Source organism: Homo sapiens, chromosome 10 (genome assembly GCF_000001405.40).
Source record: "Homo sapiens chromosome 10, GRCh38.p14 Primary Assembly".
In the NCBI taxonomy this organism is placed as follows: Eukaryota; Metazoa; Chordata; class Mammalia; order Primates; family Hominidae; genus Homo; species Homo sapiens.
Window position 1 is genome coordinate 109,949,177 of NC_000010.11, and position 16,056 is coordinate 109,965,232.

General features: G+C 42.7%; 1 long non-coding RNA gene across 1 annotated transcript in view, besides 2 other annotated features; it reads right to left on the reverse strand.

The window, feature by feature from the left end:
• The window catches only part of ADD3-AS1 (ADD3 antisense RNA 1), a 62,823-nt gene that overhangs the window by 3,618 nt on the left and 43,149 nt on the right, over positions 1–16,056 (reverse strand). The window contains exon 3 of the long non-coding RNA NR_038943.1: positions 4,580–4,715. This is a non-coding gene — a long non-coding RNA (ADD3 antisense RNA 1). The remainder of the gene's footprint in view (positions 1–4,579; positions 4,716–16,056) is intronic.
• Positions 7,424–7,473: an enhancer, noted in NCBI's record as "active region_3998". NCBI's record gives its function as "activates an Ori minimal core promoter by ATAC-STARR-seq in GM12878 lymphoblastoid cells {active_cell/tissue: GM12878}" and the evidence as "EXISTENCE:reporter gene assay evidence [ECO:0000049][PMID:35858748]".
• Positions 7,724–7,853: an enhancer, noted in NCBI's record as "active region_3999". NCBI's record gives its function as "activates an Ori minimal core promoter by ATAC-STARR-seq in GM12878 lymphoblastoid cells {active_cell/tissue: GM12878}" and the evidence as "EXISTENCE:reporter gene assay evidence [ECO:0000049][PMID:35858748]".

Sequence of the window (16,056 nt, forward strand, 5' to 3'; positions counted from 1 at the left end):
AAATAAGAAAGCTCAGCCAAGTTGGTAGGCCTCTCGTGTGAACCAAGCTAAACCACCAGACCGCACAGAAAGAAAAAAATCCACGGCCCAGCCTAGGGAGTTTGGGAGTCTTAGGGAGTTTTGCTCTTGGTTTGGGATCTGGAAGCTGGTAGTCAAATCAGCAGGTTATCTCATGGACTTTCAGGTCTGGTGCTGACTGGTCCCTGGCATCCTACCATTACCATGCCTCCGCTGTTTCCTTTCTCTCTCCTTCTACTTCAGCGGCTCCTGTTGCAACTGACGAAGTCCTGATTCCATCCTTCTTCCCTCCCCATAGAGCAGCTTGTTCAGGACTTCTACGACTTCATGAATTGTATTTACTGTTTTTTTCTCTCTATGTATCTTTTGGCTTTTTTCTTCCTACCAACTGATTCTCTCACTCTCTCTTACTGATTATTCTCTTACTCTCTGACTACTGAGGGAGAACCTCTGATTTGGTTCACTTAAACACTATTTCCCTCTAGTGCAAAGGTCTTGCACCAGGCTACTTTTTAGACTATGGGCCAACCTATGCACTAGCTGACCTTGGGTCAAGTGCTCACTCCTGATCCAATTAGCTATGACGTTGGGGATGGGGTAGGGGTGGGGTCCTATGGGACACAGCATGACCACCTACCTGTGCATAAAGAGCTTAAGGCCATTTCCTCAGCAAGGAACTGTAGGTGTAGGGTTGCCAGATAAAAAACAGGATACACAGTTAAATCTGAATTTCAGATAAACAGTGAATAATTTCCTAATAGAAGTATGTCCCATAGATGGCATGGGACATGCAAATATTATTTATTGCTAAGCTGAAATGTAAATTTGTTGCTAAGCTGAAATGTAAATTTAACAAGGTGTCCTGTATTCTTATTTGCTAAATCCAGCAACCCTATATAAGGGGAATTATTAGAAGAACTTGTAGATATCCCTCGAAGGCTTGGCCAGTTCAAAAAAGAAAGGAGGTAGGAGAACCAAGGCCATGGATGCAGAGAAGGACATCCAAACTAGTCATCAAAATCAAGAGACAGGAAGCAGGTATAGGAAGCCACAGACAATAAACCCATAGATCCAGAGAAGGAATCCATGGGTGTGAGAAGTAGGAGGAGGGTGGTCCCATGTACATGCCTGATGCACAAAACTGTTGTCCCCAGCAAGCTTGTAGGTGATCTCCATGGGCAACATGTGGGAGGGGGTTCTGGAAGACAGGCAGGCAGCAGGATTCTGCTCATGGGTTCATCCAGACAAGGGACATAACCTGTGCCTATCAATGGGAAGAGGGAGATGTTAACGACATTGTCCAATCTCCAGGACAACTTGGCTTACAAAACCATAGCACAGAGAATACAGAGCAGAAAATGTAAGCAAAAGTTCAATTGTTTCAATTAGGCAAAGGTAGCCATAGGCTGTAGTTCAGGAAGCAAGCAAGCCTCTGGGACATAAGCCATGCCATTGGGATACTGGGCTCAGATGAGCACAACTAAATTGAGGTCCTACTTCTGCAGGCTGGAGACTCCAACCAACCATCTGCCAAGATAAGGGTGGGCTCAGGAACCAAGGAAGGGTTCGATTTCCTAGCAAGTGAGGCAAAGGAAGGCTGGGCTTGGCAACTCACAGTGCTATAATTTTTTCAACTTTCACTTCCTGGGACGCTGGGGAGTCAAACCAGGCTGAACTTCCCAGAGTTGGGCCTGGACATGGAGCTGAGAGAAAGAAAGTCTGAGACCTGAATGAATGGGGAGCAGGAATCAGATTCAAAACAAAGTTTCAGCAAGGAAAATAAGGCAAGATCACAGGAGTAGTGAGGGAGACAAGGCCTAGAAAGATCCTCTCAGATAAATGTCCCTAGGGCACCTGCATCAAATCTGTGGGCAGGCAGATAGGAGTGAAATGGTTTGGGCTTTGGTTTGGTTTTTGATCATGTTGCACCACAATCCACACTTTATATACTAGTTTACCTTTACTAGGTAGGTTGCATGCTAATATTTCCTAATCTCTAATCTCTTTTATTTCATTTCTATGTTATTTAGAAATATGACTCACTACATTGATTTCATAGCCCATTAATGGGTCATACCTCATAGTTTGAAAAACATCAGCTTAGATTATATTCGATATACCTTTGGACTATTCATTTTTTTAATCACTGGCCCTTGGTAATGCCGTGTTTTGAAATGTCTGCCTTTCTCATACAACCCCTTCTCTGAGAACAGTTTCCCATTTCCCCCAGATGGGCTCTCCAAAGGCATTGAGGCTCTGGACATATGTGCCTACAACATGATGTTTCCAATCTGAGCATATCTGATTGGAGAAGAGAGGACAACTGGCCCAAAATGGACCACCAAATGTTTTCCTCCAGAAATTTGGAATTTGGCCATTGAGATTAATAGTTAGTTGGATGGTGGGTGGTCCTTGAGACAGGACTATACAACATATGGTTGTACAGGTTGTGGACTACACAACTATAGAAATTACCAGTGACAGCCAGGTGCAGTGGCTCACACCTGTAATCCCAGCACTTTGGGAGGTCAAGGTGGGTGGATCACAAGGTCAGGAGTTCGAGAACAGCCTGGCCAATATGGTGAAATCCCACCTCTACTAAAAAAAAAAAAATACAAAATAAAATTAGCCGGGCGTGGTGGCACATACCTGTAATCCCAGCTACTCGGGAGGCTGAGGCAGGAGAATGGCTTGAACCTGGGAGGCGGAGGTTGCAGTGAGCCGAAACTGCACCACTGCACTCCAGCCTGGGTGACAGAGTGAGACTCCATCTCAAAAAAAGAAAAAAAAGAAATTACCAGTGACATAGACTATAGGTAAAAGGTGCTCCCTAGGGTGGCTTAGTGTACAACCTATACAACTGTACATGACAACCCCGCTGGAGTTGAAAGTTAATTTAGTTCCAGGGCTAAAATGACTGCATTCTATCAAGTACATATGAAACAAGGTTAAAAAAAAAAAAAAGCTTTTATGATATTACCAGCTAGAACCTAAATTTATTTTAGGGAAAGAATTATCTTTGTATATGAAAGTACCATGATAAGCTGCTCAGGAAATCCTTCAATAACAAACATAAGTTGATGCCAAGACATCAGAGAAGGACAAAAGACATTCCACTGGAAATAAAGAAGAAATCTTCTCAGTTTTTCTCCTAAAATGTAGAGAAAGAGTTGAGCAATCCTATATTAGGAGGAAGCTGGTAGACCTGCCTGGAATGCCAATCTATAAGCAGTAGTGAAACCTCATTAGGATAATTTAAATGTCACCAAAAATGCAAAGAAAATTGGAAAATTTAGGCTAACAAAACTCAGAAAGAGAAGGGTACATTTTTAATGAACACTTTGATAAGCCATATGGGGTTGGGGTGAGTCCCCAGGGACATGATTGCATAAAGACAGATAGTTGTTTAAAACAAACAAACAAACAAACAAAACTCTAAAAAGGGTGGGTTGAGCAAAATCCATTTATTCTATTTTATTCTATGCATTTCTTCTATTTTAGTAAGTTGTGCATATTGGGGCCAGAGCTGAATTGCTCAGGATGACAGAGGCTGAGTGTGGTCCTTCTACTTTGCTTTGTACCCCAGGCAGGATTCTGCCTCTCCTCCAAGTAGCAATTTGAAAAAGCATCCAATTGTTAGATTTCCCAATGTACCAACTTGTTAGTCTTCCCAGAATATCCAAGGGCTTTTGATGGCTCTTGGTACAAGTAAAGGGGAAAATGACAAATAGAGGGAGAGAGAAGAATGAAAACTAAGGAGACAAGTTGGGGCCAGGTGAAGTGAAGGGCCAGGGATACTCACCAGTGGTAGGTGACTTCAGGGTGGTGACACGTCTGTTTCATTTGAGGTTTGCACCCCTGTGAGTGTAAGCCCTTCCTCTACTTATTCCTCACCAATTTCTCACTACAATCTCTTACTCTCATAAATAATTTGTGTGAGTGTGAAGTACATATGTATGCATGTGTAACTCAAAGGAAAAAAAAAAAAAGGAAAAAGGGTGGAACAGAACAGAGACCAGCCAGGTACGGTGGCTCACACCTGTAATCCCAGCATTTTCAGAGGCCAAGACAGGAGGATTGCTTGAGCCCAGGAGTTCCAGGCTGCAGTGAGCTGTGATTGTGCCACTGCACTCCAGCCCAGGCAGTAAAGAAAGACTCTATCTCTAAAAAAAGAAGAAGGAAAAAAAAAAGAGAGAGAGAGAGAGACAGAGAGAGACCATTTGAGCTGAAGACTTCAAAAGGGAAAGGAATCTTTAAAAACAGAAAACAGAAGCTCCATTGGGAATTCAGAAATATCTTGGGAAAGCTTTAGATACCCATATGATAAGGTGATCATTCCAATTTCACCTAGACCTTATGGGAAAGGGAAGCTCCAGCTAACAACTGAGTTACATGCAGAATTGAAACGAAAGCCAGCCTACAGAGAGAGAACATGTTTAGCACACACAGAGAAAAAGAGATCATGTTGCTTCTTATATTAATTAAATAAACTAAGCTGTGGTAACGAGCATACAAAATCTTATAATTGCTCAAAAACAATAGGAGTTTATTTTTCACTCACCCAGTATCCAACTGAAGACAGCTCTCCCAGCTGAAGACAGCTCCCCTCCATGTGATGATTCAGAAACCCAGGCTCCTTCCGACTCCTGGCTGCACTGTTCCTTAGGGTCTTGGGCCTCATGATTATCTGTATTCAACTAGCAGGAAGGGAATGAGAGCCAGGAGAGGACACACTGGCTTCTTGGCCTGGAAACAACCCACATCACTTCCACTCACATTCTGTTGGCTAGAACTCAATCATGTAGCCACACCTAACTGCTTGTACAGCCAGGAACGTGTGGTCTAGCTGTGTTCAGGATGAAAAGGAAATGGATTTTTAGTAAACAGCTATCAGTCTATCACAGTCCACCCTCCTGTATGCCAACTGTCCATTTGCATCCTTCTTCCCTCATGGAGACTACACCCATGCCCTCCTCAGGAAAGAAAACCCAAAGTCCCATTCAGCCACTACATCCACCTCAAAGTCCAGGATGCTTGAGGACACAATGTCTTCTTAATCAGGTCTATATGCGGTTCCTCCTGGTCCAGCAATTGATGAACTCAAAGACCAGTTACCTGTCCCTCTAACACATGTCCACTATACTGTGGTGGACCCAAGACCTGATATCTGCAAAAAGACTCCCATTCAGAAAAAAAAGAAAAATGAGAAGAACACAGTACTTACTTAATAGCATGATGGAATTCTGCTGGGCCAACAGTGTAAAGACCCTCTGCCTGGCAGGGGAGATAAATTCCTTACCTAGTCCTTAATCTGCTCTCTGGGAAGAATTTTTTGTCTATTTTTGTTTAGGGCCCCTTACTCTACCCTGTTGGGTATCCTTCCATGTCCATTATTTTTTTTAGCCACTTCTGGAGTGTCCTCCTTGAAGACTGTACCCCCTTTATACAGCTGTCAAAATACAGAATTAAAATAAATTTAATGCAAAAGTCTTAATTGGCTTTATTTGCAATTCTAGAATCGGGCAACACTTCATCCCATAAAATAGAGTGAGTGTTCTGATGAGCCAAGCAGAGGAGGCTGGTTTTACAGACAGAAAAGAGCTGAGGAAAGCAGACACAGGAAACAAAATGTGGATTGGTTGTCTCAAAGTTACATTTCTGGTAAAGGGTAAAGATTAAAGCAAAGGGGGCTTTGTTTTTCTTTTTCTTTTCTTTTCTTCTTTTTTTTTGAGACAGGGTTTTGCTCCATTGCCCAAGCTGGAGTGCTTTGGTGCAATCACAGCTCACTGCAACCTCAAACTCCTGGGCACAAGCGATCCACCCGCCTCAGCCTCCCAAGTAGCTGGGACTACAAATGTACATCACCGTGCCTGGCTAATTTTTTATTTTTTGTAGAGACAGGGTCTCACTTTGTTGCCCAGGCTGGTGCAGAGGGGACTTTCTTACGTCTGCTAAAACTGGCCTGCTTGGGGATTTAACTGTTATCCCTTTCTCTCTCCTGGTTTTTTGGAAGGTCACATAAACAACTTAATTTCAGTTTGGTGATGTGGAACTTAAGCATGAGTGACTCCATTTTGATTTAGTCTGTTGGGCCCAGTGCAGGAGCTCAGTTCAAGCCAACAGCCTCCTGTAAATTTTATTTAACACAGCTCACTTTCTGCTCATACAAATTTAGGACGGAAGGGTAAGGCTTAACCAATCAAAGATTATTTCATCCAAGCTTGTGATTTTTTTTTGTAATACAATTCCCTCAAAAATAGAAAGTTTCTCGTTTATTTGTTTCCAGTAAATTCCAAGTGCCAATAACCACACCCAGAGTTCTTTCCTAGACCTAGTTCTGAAGCCCAAATTATTTTCTTCCTTGTCTCCAAAGATTTCTCTCAATTTAATGGCAGCCACCTTGAGACCATCTGAACAATAGGTCTGGGTGGAAAGGAGCCCTTTGCTGCAGAGTCGAGTTGCTATATTTAACTGAGATTTCTTAATGGGCTTTTCTCCTTTCAAAGTTTTTTTCTTTTTTTAGAGGAGGGCAATTGGGTTTGTGTTTTTGGTTTTGGTTTTTTTTTTTTGGTCTTTGTTTTTTTGTTTTCTGATTCAGTCTATTTCCAGTTGGGTGTCCAGAATCAATAGGTTTTTCCAAATTTGGGGATTGTTTATTCTCTTTTGTTTCTGCTTATAAACTGGCCAATTATTGCCAGGGAATGTATTTTTCTAGTAATAAAGTGCAATAAGCAGCAAATAACTCAACTGTAACACACAACAATGTTCTATCTCTTTATAATGGCTTTCCCTAGAGTTACAGGGACAGCAGATATTTGCTTGGCCTTCCAAATAGTTTTAAGAACTATTTTGCCACGGCATAACACAGGTCACCATTTCTTCAGCCTATTCTGTTTTCTTGCTTCCCATGGCACAACTACTGAGTGCTACATATTATGATTATTTCATACATTAGCACTCTTTCTGACACTGACTTCTTTACTACTTAAGGTAAGTAAACTGCTGTTGAAAATAAATCAAAAATGTATAATGACTCAAACACAATAGAAATTTATTTCCTTCCCACGTAACAGTCTGAGGCAGTTGTTCCTGGTCATTAAGTGGGTCCACTTCACACAGTGATTCAGGAATCAGACTGCCTTACCCTGTGGCTCTGCCACTCCTAAAACTTCTTCATCATCTGCATTCAGCTGCAGAAGGTAAAGAATGTGAAGGGGCATACCTGTTTATTACAAGTTTTGACCTAGAAAGGGTCCACATAACTTCCACCTAGGTTCTTTTAGCAAGAACTCAGTCATATGGCCATATCCAATTACAAGAGAAGCCAGAAGGTACATCCCCCGCTGAACAGCCATTTTCCAACAACAACTCTATGTAGTTAACAGGGGTAGGCAAGCTATAGCTGGCTGGCTGAATCCAGCCCAGTGTCTGTTTTTGTAAATAAAGTTTTATTGAAACACAGCCATGCTCATTCATTTATGTATTATCTATGGCTGTTTTCACACTATAATAGCAGAGCTGAGTAGCTGCAACAGAAACCACACAGTCCACAAATCCTAAAATCTTTTTTCTCTGGCACCTTGACGGAAAAAATGTGTTGACCCTTGCTTTATGCTATGGAGGCTGGAACTGTTGTTGCCATCTTGCCACCACAAGGGGGAGTTTGGAACTACTGGGGCCCACAACATGGAGGCTTAAAATGAAGCCAATCAAAGAGAAGGCAGAGCCTAGAGATGGAGAGAGACCAAGCCCTGATGACCTCATTTGAGCCTTGAAGCCCCACTCCTGAAGCCAGCTAGCCTTGGGCTTTTTTGTTGATTCAATACAGTTCATTCTTCACTTAAACCAATTTGAATTGGGTTTCCTGTCCCAACAGAAAGGGCCCTAATTGATAACCTCTCCTACTTTAGCAATAGCAGGCAACATGAGAGGGAGTGATATTTGTCTTATACTCAAAGCATAGTGATGAAACTTCAGTCTGATTTAGTACACCAATGGGTCGGACACGGACCATGCACAAGTGCTACTGAGGTGTAAAACCAACATGTGACATTTCCCCAGTTTAGCCCTGCAAGCTCTTGAGACACTGCTCACCGAAAGCTTCTTATGAATATTTCATGTTTCTGTCTGAGTCGATCAAATTTCTCAAAGCAGTTGAGGTGAGAGTGAAAGGCAGGGGTTCAATGAAGCAGCTGCTTAATGATTCCCTAAGTCTTGGGAGACCCTGGATAAAATTTGGCCAAGAAATAAAGGCAGAGATTTTTTCAGTCCAACCTGTCCTGGAAAGGCACTGTGTCATCTCACGCAATGAAACATAATAGCCAGTCTCTCTTCCAGGCCGAGCTCTCGGAGCTCTCTGCAGGTGCACTGGCAGAGCCTGGAAAGGTTGGCAAAGGCCAGGTGGCTTTGTTCCCCTGCTGCCTCCTCTTTAGAAGTTGCTCATTACAGAGCAGGACGGTGGTGTTATATAACACAAGCTCAGCCTGATTCCACTAGAGTACAAGGGAGAGGAAAATGTCTAAATGTCTTAAACACACTGCAGACTGAGACCATATATAGGACTCTTTAGACATTGACAGACGGGCAATGCATTGAAGTCATAATACACCCTAGACTTCCTGTACAGTGCCCCTTATAAACGCAAGCACTTGTTATATGATAAGAGTCTTCTAGAGTAGAGCCAACAACAGCAAAGCCTGTATTTCTAATAATTCTTGGGGTTGGCCAAGCAATCTCTTTCCATGGATCTCCAAGAGCTTTGCAAACATTTGCTGTGAAGAAACCTCACACACACACACACACACCCATATTTTTAAAAATCACCCTTGTGAATAAGGGTGATTATACACACTCCCATTTAATTAACAAACATGTCCTCTTGTAACCACATGCCTCCTGTGACATGAATAAGACATTCAACACCCAGGAGGTGGAAATGAGTCCTGCTGTTTTTTAACCCTTTGTAAAAGTATGAGAACACTGTATAAAGGAGGTGGTTTCTGAGCAGAGGTATGTAGGACAAGAATGCTGTAAGCCATGGAAGCACCGAAAGGCAGAAGCCCTGGAGGCTGTGAGCATGTAAACAGTCATGCCTGTACAAAGCTGAGCTCAGTCATACCTGTCCAGGTCCCTCTGGGTCAATCTATGAAGTCTCGGAGTTGGAAGAAGATCAGAGGAAGTTTTATTCAGGGAAATAAATGGTAGCCAAGGCCAAAAAGAAAGTTTAAATAATGGTCATCTAGGTGAAAAGCACAAGGTTGAAGCTAGAAATATAGAGCTGAGGGGTGAGGCAAACACAGAAAAATAAGCCAGAACTGAGGTCAGGTAGGGAGGTCAAGGGCAAGGTGAGCCAGGGCAAATGGCTGTAGCTAGAGAAAAAGAGAGATTTATTTTTTTTTAATTGGCTCATGCAATTGTGGAGGCTGGCAAGTCTGAAATCCATACAGCATGCTAGCAAACTGGAACTTCAAATGAGAATCATGTTGCAGGCTTCTGCCTAAAATTTTAGAGCAGGCCAACAGAATTTCAACACAGGCAAGATTTCTATGTTGCAGCCTAGAGGCAGAATTTCTTCTTCCGCAGGAACCCTCAGTTGTTACTCTGAAAGCCTTCAACTGGATTGGATGAGGCTCGCCTGCATTACGGAGGGTCATCCACTTTACTTTACTTACAGTCAACTGATTATGAATGTTAACCACATCTACAAAATACCTTCACAGCAACATCTAGACTAGTGTCTGACCAAACAACTGAGACCATAGCCTAGTCAGTTGACACACAAAATTAACCATCGTGGGGTGTTTAAAGATGCCAACAGACCAAAGTGTTTACGAAATTCCTTACTCATAGAGATGTAGGGCTAGAAGATACTCTATAGGTAAGGAATCTAAGAACTGGTCCTTAGATTCCTTATCTATAGAGTATAGATGAAGAGAGTATGGTGGAAAGTGATACCTGGATCACCCAAAAGATGGCAAGGACGTAGGCCTCCTAAACCCCGTCCTGTGCTTTTTCAAACTCTGGATCTAGATATCCTAAGCCCCAGTGTGCCAACTCCCACGCGGTTTCTTCTTTGATCAAACTTGGTTGGGTACAAAAACAGCCATGTGTCTTTAAATTTGTGCCAGCTAGATCACATTCTAGTCATCCAAATATCTATTTCTTCAATAACCTTGGGAGGAAGTTAGGGATAGCAGAAGGCTAAGGACAACAACAAAATGCAAAAGTTTCCAAGAGACTGGAAAACATATGTGGAGTTGGAGCCTTGCCCTTGTGGGTTTTATTTCGGAGCCATCTACATCTAGCCAGCAATTACTTTGGGAATTCTCATTTGCACCTATGTTCTTCTATTTGCAAAACTTGAGTTACATCAAGATGGGCCTGCCTATCAAGAAAGGGCTGTTCACTTTTCCGTTCGTTAGGCCTAAAATGGCGAAATCAGCTTGTTTTTGACTTTTTGTGAATGAAATAATAGTGTTTGCTGTGTGGAACCATCTGGCCCATGCACAGCATGGATTGTTTGCATCAAACCCCGCCTGGCATCCCTCTGAGGTCAGAATCCTCCTATGGCTGGGGTGGCTCCAGGAAGTGCTTAGAGCAACAAAAAACTTGGCAAAAATAATCCACAAGAGCATCATGAATGCAAAAACTCTTCCCATAACAGAACAATCACCAGAGGAGTCAGGCGCTTTTCTGTGGAAACCAGGGTGTACTTGAAAAACTCACCCAGAGACCAAGGCAGAGAGGAACGATCTGTTACCATCCTCCCAATTTGGCCTGCTTTTATTTCTCTAAAATCATGGTTTGCAATATGTGGGTGTTACTGTGCTGTTTTTTTCCCCTAGTAGAATGACAACCAGGAAAACCTCCACACTTCAACTGAGCAAGTATTTGTCGACTTGAGTGGGATATAGTGAATAATAACAATAGCTAATTGAGCACTTATTATGTTCCAAGGAATGTTCTGAGCATTTTACATGAACCGACTCTTGAATCCTCACAACAACCCTGAGGTAGGTACATTATTATTCCCTTTTTTTTTTTTTTTTTTTTTGAGACCGAGTCTTGCTCTTTCGCCCAGGCTGGAGCGCAGTGGCGCAATCTCGGCTCACTGCACGCTCCACCTCCCAGGTTCACACCACTCTCCTGCCTCAGCCTCCCAAGTAGCTGGGACTACAGGCACCCGCCACCACGCCCGGCTAATTTTTTTGTATTTTTAGTAGAGATGGGATTTCACTATGTTAGCCGGGATGGTCTCGATCTCCTGACCTTGAGATCTGCCTGCCTCAGCCTCCCAAGTGCTGGAATTACAGGTGTCAGCCACCGAGCCCAGCCCTTATTATTCCCATTTTTTAAATGAAAAGATGAAATAGAGAGATGTCAAGTTAGGGAAAGATTAAATTTCCTAAACAAACACCATAGTTCATCAATTCTAAAATAATTTTTGTCACATTTTAACATCACTGAAATTAGAATGTGTCCTACAACTGATGGCACGTTAGCATTGTGTCATAATTTAATTAACCACTTTTTTTCTTTTTTGGTGATGCTTAAAATAATATTTCATCTTACAGCAACAGTATCTTAAATTTGATGAGAAATGGCAGGGAGAGAGAGTCAGGGTAAAACCCGGGCAGTTTGACTGTGGAGTCTGTGTTCTCAGGCCATGCAATGAGAGATTCCCAGCTGCCCAGGGAGAAGGGGAGGGGAAAAAAATAGATTTTGATTTCAACTAGGAGTTCAGAAAATGCTGTAAGTAGGATTTCTGAGACCTCACCATTCACCTAGTTCTTAAATTGGTCATCAAAAACAAAACAAAACAAAAACTTTACTTGGTTTTTAAATGGATAAAAAGCTAAGGCAGCCTAAGCAGTTTTCCAGTCTTTTAAAAAAGAAATCTTCAATGCTTTTTGATAAACAAAGACCTCATACTGGTCCCCTCCCTATGACACCCCCAGAAATTCTGATACTATATGCTGACCCTACTATCACCCCACTCTGTGAGAATATTTGGCCTAAAAAATATTCAAAAACTGTCTTGTTCTGTGTACAATTCTGCGTGGGATTTGATCCACCTTTCTCTTTTCTTATCTTCTCAAGCATGATAATATTTAGATAGCAATAAACTTAATTTTTTTTTAAAGAGTGAGGGTGAGTGAAAGGGTAAAGAGGAATTGTGTGTGTGTGTGTGTGTGTGTGTGAGTGTGTGTGTCTGTGTGTGTTTTGGAATTGTTTTGTTTTGTTTTATATTTGGGTTGGTAAGGAAGAAGTCTGTATTTTTTTTTAAAGGAAATCTGTAATTTTAACCAATTTATTATTCCCAGTTTTTCTAGCAACAACACATTGATTTTGTTGCCCAGGAAACTGGTGGGAGTTTCTGGAGAATTAATTACCTCATTCCAAACCAGGAGGTCACCAACCACGCTCTTTTCAACTCTGTTTTTATATGAAACAAAGGCCATTCCTTGCAGCTCACCTGAGTCTCTCTAGAGTCTGAAACCTGAGTCTCTACTCATTCCTGGGATTTCGCACTTCCTGCTGCAAACCATATGTCAGGTTATGACGGGAAAACCCTATAGTTACATTTGGGGAGGGTGGGGGAGGAAGGATGAGGTCACAAATCCCTGCAGGAGGCAATCACAGCTCCAACTCAAAGCTGCTAGAAAAACATGTTCCAATAAATTAAATAGATTGTTTTCATAGCCCTTTAACAACATTTTGCTTTTTACAGTTTGAAGTGTCTTTCCCTCTGCTCTGTGCCATAAGTGGGCTCCTTTTAGACTTTTGCAAAAGCTAGCGGCTAGCCTGCCCTGAGCGGTAATCTGCCTGGATTTTGTTCCCTGCACCTGGAAAGTTCTTTTAATTGGAAGGGTTTTTTATTCCCTTCCTTTCTTTGGTGGAGACACCAAACACAGAGAGCCTGGGGGGAAATGGGGTCTCTCAAGTCACTAAGAGACTGAAGTGTCTTAGGGGGCTTTGGTGGTACTGAGGACTCACCTAGCACTCCAGTAAAAGACGCCTAGGGATTTGGGAGGCATGCCTCAGGGGAGAATTTGCCCTCCTAAGGACAAGAGGATGAAAAAGAAGGCTTGCTGACATGCCCCACTATTGATAGGAAACCCTGAGTACCAGGAGTAATCTGGTTACCCATCTGAACCACAAGAAATCTATCACTGGGGATGAGAACATAGTCCTTGTCCCTTAAGTGGAGGACAAGAAGAATGTTTCTTTAAAGATGACTGGCAGAAAACTGACTCATGTCAGGGTGGTGGAGGAGAGAAGGAACAGGATCTGAAATCTGGCAGACTTAAATTTGAATCCTGGCTCTGCCACTTGCTAGCTGCATGACCAGCAGTGAATGAACCGCTCTCTGAGCCTCTGTTTCCACTTGTACAAAATAAGGATAACAATATAAAGTATGAGTACTATGAGGATTAAATTATATCAAGTATTTACACTGCCTAACACATAAAGGCATGGAATGGCTGCTCTATCCATGCAATGCATCGTGCAGATCTCTCTGACTTCACATCTCCATGTGAGAGGATTAGGGCAGCACCTTGACAGCAGGTATGCCCCATTTTCTTTTCTCCAACAAAGCTCAGACTTATCCTATTCCTCAGCACACCTCAACTGCTTCTCCCTGGGGCCTGGTGGGCTTCAGAAGTTAAATCTGTGCTTATTCCACTTCTCCTAACAAGAGACCAGGAATGACGAAGGCTCCAGCCTTGTAGCCATTGTGTTTCTTGGGCCAATTTAGGTTAATGTCATGGACAACTCATTATCTTATGCACTTTCTTTTTTTTTTCTTTTCTTTTTTTTTTTTTGAGATGGATTTTCACTCTTGTTGCCCAGGCTGCAGTGCAATGGCACGATCTCAGCTCACTGCAACCTCTGCCTCCCAGGTTCAATCAATTCTTCTGCCTCAGCCTCCCAAGTAGCTGAGATTACAGGCATGCGCCACCATGCGCAGCTAATTTTTTTTTTTTTTTTTTTTTTTGTAGAGATGAGGTTTCACCATGTTGGTCAGGCTGCTCTTGAACTTCTGATTTCAGGTGATCCGCCCTCCTTGAATTCCGAAAGTGCTGGGATTACAGGCGTGAGCCACCGCGCCTGGCCTTATGTACTTTCAAAACCAACTTACATCAAAGCAAGACCCAGATGTAAAAAAACAAAAACAAACTTATAGGAGTATCATCCCTTTCTTTCAGCTGTTTCTGTGAATTTATTTCCATAATAAGCACATTTTAGAAATCACTTAGTCTATTGCTATTTCCACTAACACTTTCTGTAGCCCAGAAACCTTTAAAACCCCCACTCGGCTAGATTGGAAAGTCCCACCTCCTCTATGAAGCCTTCTCTGGTTGCCCAGTTCACATTGTGCCCTCCCTTCTCAGAAATCCTGCAACACTGCTAATCAGCACCATATGGCTTAGCAGGGAACACTGTTCTTGCTCCATAGTGCTGTGCTCATCTCCCTTGATTGCTATTAAGATTCTCGACGATGGTTGCCAGATAAAATACAGGATGCCCAGTTAACTTTGAATTTCAGATAAACAGCAAAAAACGTATTAGTATAAGTACGTCTCAAGTATTGCATCCCATATTTTTATTTGCCAAATCTGGCAACAGTAAGGCCACATTCTTATGCTTCTACATCTGCAACAGCATTGCGGAGGTGAGACTGTCCTGGGCCACATCACAAATAATTACTGGTATCAACAACAACAACAATAATGGCTAACATTTATCAAGCACCAAGCAGTTACTGCCAGACACTAGGCTAGATACCTTATGTCTACCATGTCAAGGAGAGGGTCCAAAAACATGTACATAAATATGTCATTGACAATGCAAGGTCGAATATGTTTTTTTTAAGGCAATGTAGCTTCAAGATTGAGGGGAGACACTCTAAGCCACATAGCCCAGCACTGTCATTTACTGTCCTTACCACCTTGGGTGTTTACCTAATCTCTCCTTATTCTCCTCATTTATAAAATAATGATGCTAGTAGCGCTTTCCTCCCGGAACTGTGGTAAAGATTAAAGTAGGTAATACACAGCTGGGTGCGGTGGTTCATGCCTATAATTCCAGGACTTTGGGAAGCTGAGGCAGGTGGATCCCTTGAGCTCAGGAGTTCGGAACCAGCCTGGGCAACATGGCGAAACCCCATCTCAACGAAAAAAAAATACAAAAATTAGCCAGGCATGGTGGGATGCACGTGTATTCCCAGCTACTTGGGAGATGGATGTGGGAGGATCGCTTGAGCCCAGGAGTTCGAGGCTGCAGTGAGCCGAAATCACACCACTGCACTCCAGCCTGGGCAACAGAGTGAGACCCTGTCTCCAAAAATTAAAAAAAAAAAAGTAGGTAATACGTTAAGGGAGTGACAAGGTGCCCAGCACATGGTAAGTACTCAGGAAATGGTAGACGTTGTTGTGGTGGTAGTGGAGATGGTATCGTTCTGATGGAACTTAGAGGTGGAGCTCTTTGGCCTGAGTGTTTAGTAGGCCTTCAAGGACTGCTAAGTGTGACGAGTCAGGGAAGATTCCCAGGACAGCAAGAAAGTGGAAGGCCTTTTTAGGATGTGGTAGGTAGACTTACCTAGCTGCTTCAGTTTGCATGGGATTAATGCAAAACCTTGTTTACAATCAAAATGCTCTGTTAATCTAAATTAACTTATAGTCCTCATAGCTTAAATATTTGCTCTTGTGGCTAGAGCAATTGACAGGTCTTGGGACACAAGTTGAATATTCGGTGACATGATTCTTTTTTTTTTTTTTTTTTGAGACGGAGTCTCACTCTGTCGCCAGGCTGGAGTGCAGTGGTGCGATCCCGGCTCACTGCAACCTTCACCTCCCGGGTTCAAGTGATTCTCCTGCCTCAGCCTCCGGAGCAGCTGGGACTACAGGCACCCGCCACCATGCCCGGCTAATTTTTGTATTTTTAGTAGAGATGGGGTTTCACCATGTTGTCCAGGATAGTCTCAATCTCTTGACCTCGTGATCTACCTGCCTCAGCCTCCCAAAGTGCTGGGAT